The following is a 14,772-nucleotide window of genomic DNA, read 5'->3' on the forward strand; positions in this document are numbered from 1 at the left end:
TGCAGGAGATTTCCTCCTTTCTTCTGTGTAAATCCCTTTTCACTTGTGTGCAAACATGAACTGTTCAGCACAATGTGCTAATTAAAACACCCATTTTGCTTGAGTGGTCTTCGTCAAAGGCTTAAAGAAAGCTTGTGTTTTGCCTGGATCGCCTTGAGATTACTGTGAGAAACCTATCAGGATTAGTTGAGAGACATATTCTAAGTGTCTACAATTTGTCAGGCACTGAGGTTACCCAGATGATTAAAGGACAGTTTGTACTCTCAAGAACTTCATGGCCCAGGAGGAAGCAGCGTGTAAATAAATGATCAAAGAGGATATGTGACTCATAATGTACAGGACACTGGGAGCACAAACAGAGGGACAGCTTTTTATTCATTCACATCTTTATTGATCATCAAGTATGGGATAGACAGGCACAGGGTGGTGAGGAAAAGTGACAGTAAAAATAAAAGATCAAAGGTAAGAAAGGCATATTTTCTGCCTTCTTTTTCTTTGTAAAATTGTTCCTTTTTCCAGGAAGAAAATAGTAAAAGAAATCTTTTGATCTCTGTGTTCCACCATATAAGCATTTTTTAGATTATCCCTTTTCTAACTGCTATTTGATTCTGAATTTATGTGTACACTCAATTAAACCAGACAATAAAAAAAAAACCCTAACAATTTACCTGAACATTTAAGGCTACTATAAACATTAATTTCCCTGGCCAAATTAATAAAGAGGGGGCTCTAATTAATAGAGTTGCTGTATATATGCAAAATATAATTTGGTAATCCACTTTCTGTTAAATATTATAATACAATCAACTTAACTTTAAATCTCTCTTAAAATTACTTTATTCTATTTTTGCTAAATTACAATGTTTTTCAATATCTTGCAGGGTCTTAGAATCTTTACCAGATACAAAAATAATAACTTCACAATGGAAATGTGGACTTATGGTGAGTTGTGTATTTTTCGAAAAGAATTGTATCCTAGGCAGAGCCTTTATATAGCAAGTTTTTCCTCTTCAAATTTGTTTTTAATTCAGTCTCATAGTAGTCCTATAAGGTTAAAACATTATTACAGTATTATTTTTCTCATTTTATGGATAGATCAACGGACCACAAAAAGATTAAGTGACTTGCCTGGGGTTATGTAAAATAACTTTACTGGCAAAGCCAGGACTATATCTCACGTTTCCCGAGTCTCAGTCTTTGAGCCTAATCAGAGAATTTCTACTTATTTTACGTACAATTTATCTAACTTTTAATTGATTATTTGACAAATTTCTATCCTTTAAATATTTTAATATCATTCCTATTTACCTATTAGTTGGGAAACTTCCTAGTTTGAGGTAATCGATCATTGAATATCTATTAGGTATGGGATGGCCTACTACAAAACAGGCAGAAGAAATGCTTTTCTCAAGAAACTTGGAATGTAAATATTGATGTATAAGATCACTTTCACATGGGTTAGACTAATTATAATGCTTAGCATGAAACATGTTAGTTCTTGTAACCAAGGAAAGTATTATGGTCAGAAATCACTGTACAGTTATTCCATCTTTGGTCCTAGAGTTGATGTGATATTGGCAAGAGGTTAGACAAATAGACCAAAGGAACAGAATAAAGAGTTCAAAGATATACTCACATGTCCACAGTCATCTGATACATAGCAAATATGCCATTACAATTCAGGGAAGAAAGAATGGTCTTTTCCGTAAATGGTGCTTAGTTACATGGTTACTCATATGTGAAATAAATATAACTTGACCTCTACCTCATACCATATGAAGAGTAATTTAGGATTAACCATGGACCTAAGTGTGAAAGGCAAAGGCATAAAGCATCTAGATGAACATAGGAGAATGGCTTGGTGTCTTCAGGGAGGCCCAGTCTAATCAAACAGGTCCTTAAAAGTGGAAAAAAAAGAAAGAAGAGTGGTCAGAAAGATGAGGCATGAGATGGTCTCAATCTACCACTACTGGCTTTGAAGATGGAAGAAGGGCTTTGAGCCAATGACTATGGCAGCTTGCAAGCTGGAAAAGGCAAGGAAACAGATTCTTATAATATCCAGAAAGCAGTATAGCCCCAGTGACGGTTTTATTTTAACAAACTGAGACTTGTGTCAGACTTCTAACCTATAGAATTGTAAAGTTACACATGTGTGATATTTGAAACCACTAAGTTTGTGATAATTTATTATGGCAGCAATACAAAATTTAAAAAAAAAGGAAATTTAAAAACAAAACATTCCTATTCCTCCTTTATGAAGAAGCTTAAAAGTGACACTCACCTGCTTCCTTTAAACCTAGTTACTCTACCCCTGGAGAGCTCAGAGAACTCTATTTTACTACCATTCATCTTGTTTTACCTTATATTTCTACTGGATTGTGGATTCTCTGTAGGCATCTTTACATCTTCCATTGTATATATGCCAGGCACCGTACATGTGTTCACTTTATATACTAGGTGCTCTATGCATCTTTGGTAAATTACTTTAAATTGAACCATTTATTTGCATGAGGGGCAGCAACCAGGAAAGACAAGATTCCACTAATGTGTTCTCTTAGCCTGCTTAGCAAGCTTTCCACTGCAAAGATACATTAATGCTAGGGTTCTGAATAATGAAGCTGAGGTTGTTTAAAACAGCAGGCTGGCATCAGATGAAACATTTCCATATCATTCTACATTAAATAAAACATTTACCATTTCATGCTTTCTTTTCTGGTAATTTTGCCTTGTCCTTCACGTTAGTGATTTGTTCCACATGGCCACTCATTTAAGATAACAGCAGGCCAAGAGGTGTGACAAATGGAGACAGGGCCATACCTGATCACCAGGATTCCATTACGCTTCCTTGAGTTTAGAACTAGTAAAACTGTCAGTATCTTAAAACAAAGGAACTGTGCTTGAGTCTACATATTAGGAATTCAGTGACTGCAGTAGCAGTGATCGCATTATATAGCAAATGGACAGACATGGCTATAAAGGGAGCCTACAGTCAAAATAAATGAACTGTTTTTCTGTGTCCAGTCAAACAACAAATATTTTCCAGTACCTATTATATGTGTAGCCCTGTGATAAGTACTGCAAAGGGATATGAGGGGGAGAAGATAGATGCTTTATATTTCAAAAATATTTAACAGTGGGGAAAGAAAAGATTAGGAAAAGTAACACAAGGGTGAAACAAGTATATGCAATAAAAATTCAGTGGAGCGAGGGAGCATTTCACCAGGAAGGCTTTGGAGAATTGATAGGAATAAAGGTAGTAGTAACATTTAAGCATTAAGTTGGACAGCTGAAGATGTATGGTGTTGGTATGTGCGGGGTACATTCTAGGAAACACTCTCAGTCCCATTTGTCTCAAACAGGGTTTGTCAACCTCTGCTCTACTGACCTCCCAGTCTGTGTAGTTCTCTGTTGAGGTGGGGGGGGGGCATTGTAGGATGTTTAGCAGCATCTTTTGCCCCTACCAACTAGATGCCAGTTACTTTACCTCCTCTTGGAGGTATGACAACCAAATGTCCCCTGAGAAGCAAAATTGTCCCCAGTTAAGAACCACTGTCGTGGAGTAAAAGTTCAGAGAGAGGAGACATGAGAGTTACATGCCATGTCAAAGAGTTGGGAATTTCATTCCAAAGGTAATGAGGAACCACTGAAAACATTTATGCTGGAGAATGGCAAGTTAAAAAATTGTTTGAACGCAATTTATGTGATGGAAGCACCCGAGAAAAACTGGAGGGAGGTGTTGTAGGGAAAGGGAAGAACAACTTAAAAGCTATCACAATTGTCCAAGCATAAAATGAGGAGGTTTGGTGGCAGCAGAACTAGAGAGCACTCGGTGGCTATAGGTATTCTTTTTTGTATTTTTAAATTTTATTTTAAATTCAGGATGTACATGTGCATGTTTGTTACATGAGTATATTGCATACTGGTGGGGATCAGTCCTGTAGTATACCCATTACCCAAATAGTGAACATTGCACTTGATAGGTGATTTTTCAACCCTCAACCCCTTCTTCCATTCTCCCCACTGTTGGAGTCCCCAAGGTCTATTATTCTCCTCTGTATGTCCATGTGTACTCGTTGTTTAGCTCCCACTTATAAGTGACTGCGTGAGGTATTTAATTTTGATTTTCTGTTTTTGAATTAGTTCCCTTAGGATAATTGCCTACAGCTTCATGCTGCAAAGAACATGATTCATTCTTTTCATGGCTGCGTAGTATTCCATGGTGTATATCTACCACATTTTCTTTATCCAGTCAACCATTGATGGAAACTTAGGTTGGTTCCATGACTTTGCTATTACAAATAGTGCTGTGATGAACATATGAGTGCAGATGTATTTTTTATATAATTTTTTTTCCTTTGGTAGGTACTCAGTAGTAGGATTGCTGGGTTGAATGTTCTATTTTTAGTTATTTGAGAAATCTCCACACTGTTTTCTATGGAGGTTGAACGAATTTACATCCCCATCAACAGTGTCTAAGTGTTTTTCCCCACATCCTGGTCCTGTGTGTAAGCTTAGATGGAGAAAGGAACAGCCACAAGCAGCAGCTAAAGCAATCTGTAGCTTGGGAACCTTGGCTAGGAACGATTCACAGACTGTTGGTTAGGAAAAAGCAGTGTAGCAGCATAGAAGCAGGCATGTGGTGCCAATCTTCTGAGACCATCTTTCAGGCCCATGGAGAGAAACTAGCAGCAACTTCCAAGCCACCAGAAGCCTCTAAAACAATACATTTTCACTTTCACTCCATTCTGTCTATAAATTTTAAATTCATATCCAATTATGGTAAAAATATTTTAGTAAGTTTTTTTAAATAGTTAAATAGCACTGAAAGGAAAAAGAGGGGAATATATGCTTGGTTCTCCATTCTGTGGCCATTTTTGAAGTTCACTGAACCCAGTTTGGAATTTTGGAAAACCTGTTATTGTGGCTGAGCTCCATGGAAGGTCACTTCCTTCATGTTTTAAAAGTGACACTGAAACACAATAGGTAATTTTCCACGTTTAGGCTACAATGATATAATTAATTAATAAGATTTCCTCAACTGATTAAAAGTTCCATAAGGGCAATTACCACATCATATATTGTTATTCTCTACGTCTTTGCGCAGTAAAATAGGGGCAAATAACAGCTTACGCTTGTCACCTGCCTGAAGTTAAATTCACTGTTACTCATGAGCAAAATGACTTGTGAAAAGAATGAAGTTCTTGATATCACAGGTTGAGGAAATATTCTACCCAAGAGGCATGTGGTATATTACCTTGGAGCACAGGATCAGGAATCAGACAAACTGTGTTCAATTCCTGCAATCACCACTTCTATGTGTATGAACTTGAGAGATCTGTTTACTCTCAGTGCCCCAGACTGACACCTCACACGGCCGGGTACTCCTCTGAGACAAAACTTCCAGAGGAACGATCAGGCAGCAGCATTTGTTGTTCACCAATATCTGTTGTTCTGCAGCCTCTGCTGCTGATACCCAGGCAAACAGGATCTGGAGTGGACCTCCAGCAAACTCCAACAGACCTGCAGCTGAGGGTCCTGACTGTTAGAAGGAAAACTAACAAACAGAAAGGACATCCACACCAAAACCCCATCTATATGTCACCATCATCAAAGACCAAAGGTAGATAAAACCACAAAGATGGGGAAAAAACAGAGCAGAAAAACTGGAAACTCTAAAAATCAGAGCACCTCTCCTCCTCCAAAGGAACACAGCTCCTCACCAGCAATGGAGCAAAGCTGGACGGAGAATGACTTTGACAAGATGAGAGAAGAAGTCTTCAGATGATCAAACTACTCCGAGCTAAAGGAGGAAGTTCAAACCCATGGCAAAGAAGTTGAAAACCTTGAAAAAAATTAGACGAATGGCTAACTAGAATAACCAATGCAGAGAAGTCCTTAAAGGACCTGATGGAGCTCAAAACCATGGCAAGAGAACTACGTGACAAATGTACAAGCCTCAGTAGCTGATTCGATCAACTGGAAGAAAGGGTATCAATGATGGAAGATGAAATGAATGAAATGAAGCGAGAAGAGAAGTTTAGAGAAAAAAGAATAAAAAGAAATGAACAAAGTCTCCAAGAAAGATGGGACTATGTGAAAAGACCAAATCTATGTCTGACTGGTGTACCTGAAAGTGACGGGGAGAATGGAACCAAGTTGGAAAACACTCTGCAGGATATCATCCAGGAGAACTTCCCCCAATCTAGCAATGCAGGTCAACATTCAACTTCAGGAAATACAGAGAATACCACAAAGATACTCCTCAAGAAGAACAACTCCAAGATACATAATTGTCAGATTCACCAAAGTTGAAATGAAGGAAAAAATGTTAAGGGCAGCCAGAGAGAAAGGTCGGGTTACCCACAAAGGGAAGCCCATCAGACTAACAGCGGATCTCTCAGCAAAAACTCTACAAGCCAGAAGAGAGTGGGGGCCAATGTTCAACATTCTTAAAGAAAATAATTTTCAACCCAGCATTTCACATCCAGCCAAACTAGGCTTCATAAGTGAAGGAGAAATAAAATACTTTACAGACAAGCAAATGCTGAGAGATTTTGTCACCAACAGGCCTGCCCTAAAAGAGCTCCTGAAGGAAGCGCTAAACATGGAAAGGAACAACCAGTACCAGCCACTGCAAAAACATGCCAAATTGTAAAGACCATCAAGGCTAGGAAGAAACTGCATCAACTAACGAGCAAAATAACCAGTTAACATCATAATGACAGGATCAAATTCACACATAACAATACTAACCTTAAATATAAATGGGCTAAATGCTACAATTAAAAGACACAGACTGGCAAATTGGATAAAGAGTCAAGACCCATCAGTAAGCTATATTCAGGAAACCCATCTCATGTGCAGAGACACACATAGGCTCAAAATAAAGGGATGGAGGAAGATCTACCAAGCAAATGGAAAACAAAAAAAGGCAGGGGTTGCAATCCTAGTCTCGGATAAAACAGACTTTAAATCAACAAAGATCAGAAGAGACAAAGAAGGTCATTACATAATGGTAAAGGGAACAATTGAACAAGAAGAGCTAACTATCCTAAATATATATGCACCCAATACAGGAGCACCCAGATTCATAAAGCAAGTCCTTAGAGACATACAAAGAGACTTAGACTCCCACACAATAATAATGGGAGACTTTAACACCCCACTGTCAACATTAGACAGATCAATGAGACAGAAAGTTAACAGGGATATTCAGGAATTGAACTAAACTCTGCACCAAGCGGACCTAATAGACATCTACAGAACCCTCCACCCCAAATTAACAGAATATACATTCTTTTCAGCACCACACCACACCTATTCCAAATTTGACCACATAGTTGGAAGTAAAGCGATCCTCAGCAAATGTAAAAGAACAGAAACTATAACAAACTATCTCTCAGACTACAGTGCAATCAAACTAGAACTCAGGATTAAGAAACTCACTCAAAACCGCTCAACTACATGGAAACTGAACAACCTGCTCCTGAATGACCACTGGGTACATAACGAAATGAAGGCAGAAATAAAGATGTTCTTTGAAACCAATGAGAACAAAGACACAACATACCAGAATCTGTGGGACACATTCAGAGCAGTGTGTAGAGGGAAATTTATAGCACTACATGCCCACAAGAGAAAGCAGGAAAGATCTAAAATTGACACCCTAACATCACAATTAAAAGAACTAGAGAAGCAAGAGCAAACACATTCAAAAGCTAGCAGAAGGCAAGAAATAACTAACATCAGAGCAGAACTGAAAGAGATAGAGACACAAAGAACCCTTCAAAAAATCAATGAATCCAGGAGCTGGTTTTTTGAAAAGGTCAACAAAATTGATAGACCACTAGCAAGACTAATAAAGAAGAAAAGAGAGAAGAATCAAATAGATGCAATAAAAATGATAAAGGGGATATCACCACTAATCCCACAGAAATACCAACTACCATCAGAGAATACTATAAACACTTCTATGCAAATAAACTAGAAAATCTAGAAGAAATAGATAAATTCCTAGACACATACACCCTCCCAAGACTAAACCAGGAAGAAGTTGAATCACTGAATAGATCAGTAACAGGCTCTGAAATTGAGGCAATAATTAATAGCTTACCAACCAAAAAAAATCCAGGACCAGACGGATTCACAGCCGAATTCTACCAGAGGTACAAGGAGGAGCTGGTACCATTTCTTCTGAAACTATTCCAATCAATAGAAAAGGAAGGAATCCTCCCTAACTCATTTTATGTAGCCAGCATCATTCTGATACCAAAACCTGGCAGAGACACAACCAAAAAAGAGAATTTTAGACCAATATGCCTGATGAACATCGATGCAAAAATCCTCAATAAAATACTGGTAAACCGACTCCAGCAGCACATCAAAAAGCTTATCCACCATGATCAAGTGGGCTTCATCCCTGGGATGCAAGGCTGGTTCAACATACACAAATCAATAAACGTAATCTAGCATATAAACAGAACCAAAGACAAAAACCACATGATTATCTCAATTGATGCAGAAAAGGCCTTTGACAAAATTCAATAACCCTTTATGCTAAAAACTCTCAATAAATTAGGTATTGATGGGACATATCTCAAAATAATAAGAGCTATCTATGACAAACCCACAGCCAATATCATACTGAATGGACAAAAACTGGAAGCATTCCCTTTGAGAACTGGCACAAGACAGGGATGCCCTCTCTCACCACTCCTATTCAACATAGTATTGGAAGTTCTGGCCAGGGCAATCAGGCAGGAGAAGGAAATAAAGGGTATTCAATTAGGAAAAGAGGAAGTCAAATTGTCCCTGTTTGCAGATGACATGATTGTATATCTAGAAAACCCCATCATCCCAGCCCAAAATCTCCTTAAGCTGATAAGCAACTTCAGCAAAGTCTCAGGATACAAAATCAATGTGCAAAAATCACAAGCATTCTTATACACCAATAACAGACAAACAGACAGCCAAATCATGAGTGAACTCCCATTCACAATTGCTTCAAAGAGAAGAAAATACCTAGGAATCCAACTTACAAGGGATGTGAAGGACCTCTTCAAGGAGAACTACAAACCACTGCTCAATGAAATAAAAGAGGATACAAACAAATGGAAGAACATTCCATGCTCATGGGTAGGAAGAATCAGTATCATGAAAATGGCCATACTGCCCAAGGTAATTTATAGATTCAATGCCATCCCCATCAAGCTACCAATGACTTTCTTCACAGAATTGGAAAAAACTAAAGTTCATATGGAACCAAAAAAGAGCCTGCATTGCCAAGTCAATCCTAAGCCAATAGAACAAAGCTGGAGGCATCAGGCTACCTGACTTCAAACTATACTACAAGGCTACAGTAACCAAAACAGCATGGTACTGGTACAAAAACAGAGATATAGACCAATGGAACAGAACAGAGCCTTCAGAAATAATGCCACATATCTACAACTATCTGATCTTTGACAAACCTGACAAAAACAAGAAATGGGGAAAGGATTCCCTATTTAATAAATGGTGCTGGGAAAACTGGCTAGCCATATGTAGAAAGCTGAAACTAGATCCCTTCCTTATACCTTATACAAAAATTAATTCAAGATGGATTAAAGACTTAAATGTTAGACCTAAAACCATAAAAACCCTAGAAGAAAACCTAGGCATTACCATTCTGGACATAGGCATGGGCAAGAACTTCATGTCTAAAACACCAAAAGCAATGGCAACAAAAGCCAAAATTGACAAATGGGATTTAATTAAACTAAAGAGCTTCTGCACAGCAAAAGAAACTACCATCAGAGTGAACAGGCAACCTACAGAATGGGAGAAAATTTTTGCAATCTACTCATCTAACAAAGGGCTAATATCCAGAATCTACAATGAACTCAAACAAATTTACAAGAAAAAATCAAACAATCCCATCAAAAAGTGGGCGAAGGATATGAACAGACACTTCTCAAAAGAAGACATTTATGCAGCCAAAAGACACATGAAAGAATGCTCACCATCACTGGCCATCAGAGAAATGCAAATCAAAACCACAATGAGATACCATCTCACACCAGTTAGAATGGCGATCATTAAAAAGTCAGGAAACAACAGGTGCTGGAGAGGATGTGGAGAAAAAGGAACACTTTTATACTGTTGGTGAGACTGTAAACTAGTTCAACCCTTGTGGAAGTCAGTGTGTCGATTCCTCAGGGATCTAGAACTAGAAATACCATTTGACCCAGCCATCCCATTACTGGGTATATACCCAAAGGATTATAAAACATGCTGCTATCAAGACACATGCACACGTATGTTTATTGCGGCACTATTCACAATAGTAAAGACTTGGAACCAAGCCAAATGTCCAACAATGATAGACTGGATTAAGAAAATGTGGCAAATATACACCGTGGAATACTATGCAGCCATAAAAAATGATAAGTTCATGTCCTTTGTAGGGACATGGATGAAGCAGGAAACCATCATTCTCAGCAAACTATCACAAAGACAAAAAACCAAACACCACATGTTCTCATAGGTGGGAACTGAACAATGAGAACACATGGACACAGGAAGGGGAACATCACACACCAGGGCCTGTTGTGGGGTGGGGCGAGAGGGGAGGGATAGCATTAGGAGATATACCTAATGTTAAATGATGAGTTAATGGGTGCAGCACACCAACATAGCACATGTATACATATGTAACTAACCTGCACGTTGTGTACATGTACCCTAAAACTCAAAGTATAATAAATAAAAAATAAATAAATTTAAAAAATAAATAAATAAAATGGGGCTAAACAGCACCTACCTGACAGGGGAATTATAAATAATTAATGGATATATATGCTTGAGGATGAAAACTATTATTAGAATGCTGAAGACAAATTAAATATAAAGTAAATATTTTAATATATATATATTTTAAAAATTGGTATTTGAAATGTGCTGGCTATTTAAAGGCCCACCCCCCTAGAAAATCCTTTGGTACTATAAAGAATCACCTTCTAATTTATTATTTAGTGCTAGTGGAGGTATATTAATTTACTGAAAGCAGACAGCTCCAACAAATCATGGATCATCTAGGAGTCAGCAAAGGGTAGGAAAAGCAAGATTTGGGGTCAGACCTTAGCTGTGACACTGATTCTCTCTATGAACATCCTCTCCTGAGCCCCATGTCCTTGCCTGTGACAAGGAGATAACCACCACCTCCCTTGCTAAGAAAATTAATGTGTGTAAGTCACCTACTGCAGGGTTTGGGTCACAGAGAAGTTTAGTGTCGCACTGACCTGCCTCAAGAAAGGAGACTTTGGTCTGTGTGACTACGTATGTCTCTCCTAATCTTAGAAAACATAAAAAAATCTAAGAACTACTGGTAGAAAAGTTCTCATTCTCCATATAAATGCAAACATATTTCCATTTCAATGACAATCAATCTCAAATGCATGTCTCTCAATCACCTTTACTTTTTCCATCATATACATCAAGTAAATGGGCCTGATTCAAGTGGGCTACAAAGCTTGCTGGGGGAAGGAGAAGCTAAAACATTAGAGAATAAAGTCCTGCATTATGATTTTTGAGGAAGAGCCATATCTGCTTTGTAGCAATCACTTCCATAGCCCATGAAACTCTTTTTTTATTGACTATGGAATGTAGACATACTGTCAAAGGATTTAAATCAATTTTTACAATCGCTTTCTTGAACTATCATTACCTCAACAAGATTCATAGCTGTAGCTGATTTGGAGAGAATTGTGACTAAAATATCAGAGCTGCAGCTCTTGTGGAAAAATTTCTCTCTGTGGATTGTTATTTTTCTGACACTTAAAAGCCTAATGCCAGAAAGAAATGAAATCCCATTTTGCATCTGCCTGTTTAAATGTGAGCTTTTAACTATCATAATTCCTAAGCCTGGCTTCGCATGTATCACTTTACTCCAAACAGAACATTGGGATTAATGGCCTGGTATTAAAAGCAGAAACAAAAAGCAATTGCTTTGGGAGGCACTCAAGTACAGTAATACCTAGCAGAAGAAAAGGGTTTGATACATAGCTGAAAAGCTAGTTTTGCACTAGTTATCAATGCAATCTTGTGGAAAAGTAATAGATCATTCTTCTATTTACTGGCATTTTGAAACTATGGATGCAATAGTTTAACCCTTGAAAAATTGGATTCATTTACTGAAGCATTGAAAATCAATGGAAAAGACCAATCCAGGTATCTCTCCATCTTCACTCTCTGCTAAATACTACACTTCTTGACAGGTGGGATTCCGTGTTATGTTATTAGCCTTCATAAAAGCCACAACCCTCAACCCACACGGGTCCTCAGTATGCCTTCCCAAGGAATTGGGCAGCAACTGGGGTCACAAAGAGGAAGAAGAAATGATTCCTGCCTTTATGTACCAGTAGGAAAGGGCAAAACAGATGCCTTAAAGTAATAGAAAATTGCTGTCTAATTCTAGACTAATTGGAAAACAAGCAGACTACTGGCTCCCTTCTCTAGATATTGGGATCGCCACAAAAGGGATAAGGAGGTGAATGGGTTTCAGAACAGTTTTATCAGACAAAACCAAAACACTGTCAAACACTTTGAGAATAAGATGATTTGACCTCTGGATGTTTGTTTGGTGGAGGAGAATTGGAATTAGTGCTGAAAACCAAGAGAAGGATGTGGTAATATAAATTAGACTGCAACATGAGAGGGGCAAGGGGACATTGAGGGTTATCAGAAATCATTTTCTAATCATTCTCTTTCCCTTCTTTTATATTGAGTTGAGTGGATCACCACATGCCTAATAGCTACCATGGGAGAAAGAAGTAGCAGATCCAGTCTAGCACCAACCATATCCAGTAAGCTCGTATCAGCATGGAAATTGGATGATGGATAGATGCTATACCCGGGACTGCAGGCATGCTGTTCTGATGCAGACCACCCTCACCCTGCTTGCTAGTACTTCTATCTACAACCAATAGAACAATTACATAAAAGGTTGGTGAAGGACCCCAGAAAAGAGTAGTACCTGAAACTGAGGCATTAGGAGATTTCCTGGAGTCAGGAGATGCCTATGGGAAAGGTGAGAGATGCAAAAAGGAAAGGTCAAACTGTAATCCCAACTAGCAGGCTAGATATTTGGGTTGAGAAACTATCTCAGGAGACATCAAGAAGAGATAGATTAGAAAAAAAAAATCCACCATGAAAGTGGAGCTCTAGAATCCTCAGAGAAACAATCCTAACTGGTGAATATTATCTATTTATTTATCTAACCACTTAACATCTCTGGAAATTGTCCTGACTGCTTACAACAAATGAGTAAGTGTTCATTAATGAAACACTAGTCAGGTGTGTACTACTCTGGTCAGGTATGGCCAAGAAGACAGCTCCCAATCAAGGGATATGATGTCTCACTTGGAGGGGCAGGACACTAGCATTTCTCATTACTCCTAGTTCTAAGTTGCAGAGGCTAATGTCCTGGTAAGTATAGTTTAGAAGCTAGGGGTTCTCTTCTCTCACCCATCTCCAACTTGTAAAGTGGAAGCTCTAACCCAAGGGTGTTAGGCTGAGAATGTTGGGCCTAATTACTCTTGCCCCAGCTTGCTTGTAGGGCCTACATTCCACACTGGGTTAGGTAAGCTGAAGAGACCAGAGTCTAGTGCCTGCACCCAGCACCCAGCTAGTAAGCAGGCTGCCATGTGAGAGAAGCCAGCCACCGATTCTACCCTCAACTCCAGGGCTGTGGCTCAGGGATTCTTATCAAATAGGATAAACGCACAATGAACTTCAAGTAGGATAAAAACAAAGGGATCCATAACCAGACATATGATGTTAAAAATGGTGAAATTCAAAGACAGAAATTTTGAAAGCAACAAGAGAAAAACAGCCCCCTGCAAACAAGGAAGACTTAGTAAATTTAACAGCTGACTTCTCCTGAGAAACAATGGAGGCCAAATTGCAGTAAATGACGTATTCAAGGACTGAAAGAAATAAACTGTCAACCAAGAATCTTATCTTCAGCAAATGTATCTTTTAAAAATGAAGGCAAAGTAAAAGTGTTTCTAGATACAAATGAAAAAGTAAAATAAATCATTTCTTCAGATCTACCTTATAAAAAAAACTAAAGGAAGTTCGTCAGGCTGAAAGCAAGTAAACCTAGATGGAAATTCACATCCAGATGAAAAAATAAGGAGCAAAGGTAATTATATAATTACAAAACATTATATATATATGTGTGTGCATATATATACACACACATACATATGTATATTTATTCTCTTACCTGATTTAAAAAAAATTTTTATAAAACAATAGTATATAATTAGATTGTTTGGTCTATAGCATACAGAAATGCAATATATTTGACAATACTAGCACAAAGAAGGTTGGTGAGAACAAGCTCTATTGGAGGAGGAAAATGACACGAGACAGTAACTTGAATCCATGGGAACAAATGAAGAGAACTGGACATAGTAAATAAGATTAATGTAACAAAGTCTATAAATATATCCTTTCTTTCCTTTCTTTTCTCAGCTTATTTAGTAGCCACAAAACTATACAAAGTACTTATAACAATGTATTTTGGGGTTTGTAACAGGTATAGATATTATATCCTTAACAATATTAGCATAAAGAAATAAAAATGGAAGAGAAATAGAACTGTATAGGAGCAGTGTTTCTTTATTTCACTGGAAATATTTTCTTGACAGTTTAAGTCTGATTTTGCCACCATGCAGACAAGGTAGTTTGGTTTTGCTGCTGCATAAGTTATGAAAAAGCGCTCAGTTT

The 14,772-nt window shown here is 37.9% G+C and overlaps 1 long non-coding RNA gene across 1 annotated transcript in view; it reads left to right on the forward strand.

Moving 5' to 3' along the window:
• The first annotated feature begins 417 nt into the window (after window positions 1-417).
• Window positions 418-14,772, forward strand: part of LOC105374595 (uncharacterized) — a 62,809-nt gene continuing 48,454 nt past the window's right edge. Inside the window, exons 1-2 of the long non-coding RNA XR_001739461.2 lie at window positions 418-462; window positions 882-942. This is a non-coding gene — a long non-coding RNA (uncharacterized LOC105374595). The remainder of the gene's footprint in view (window positions 463-881; window positions 943-14,772) is intronic.

Source organism: Homo sapiens, chromosome 2 (genome assembly GCF_000001405.40).
Source record: "Homo sapiens chromosome 2, GRCh38.p14 Primary Assembly".
NCBI classification, from domain to species: Eukaryota; Metazoa; Chordata; class Mammalia; order Primates; family Hominidae; genus Homo; species Homo sapiens.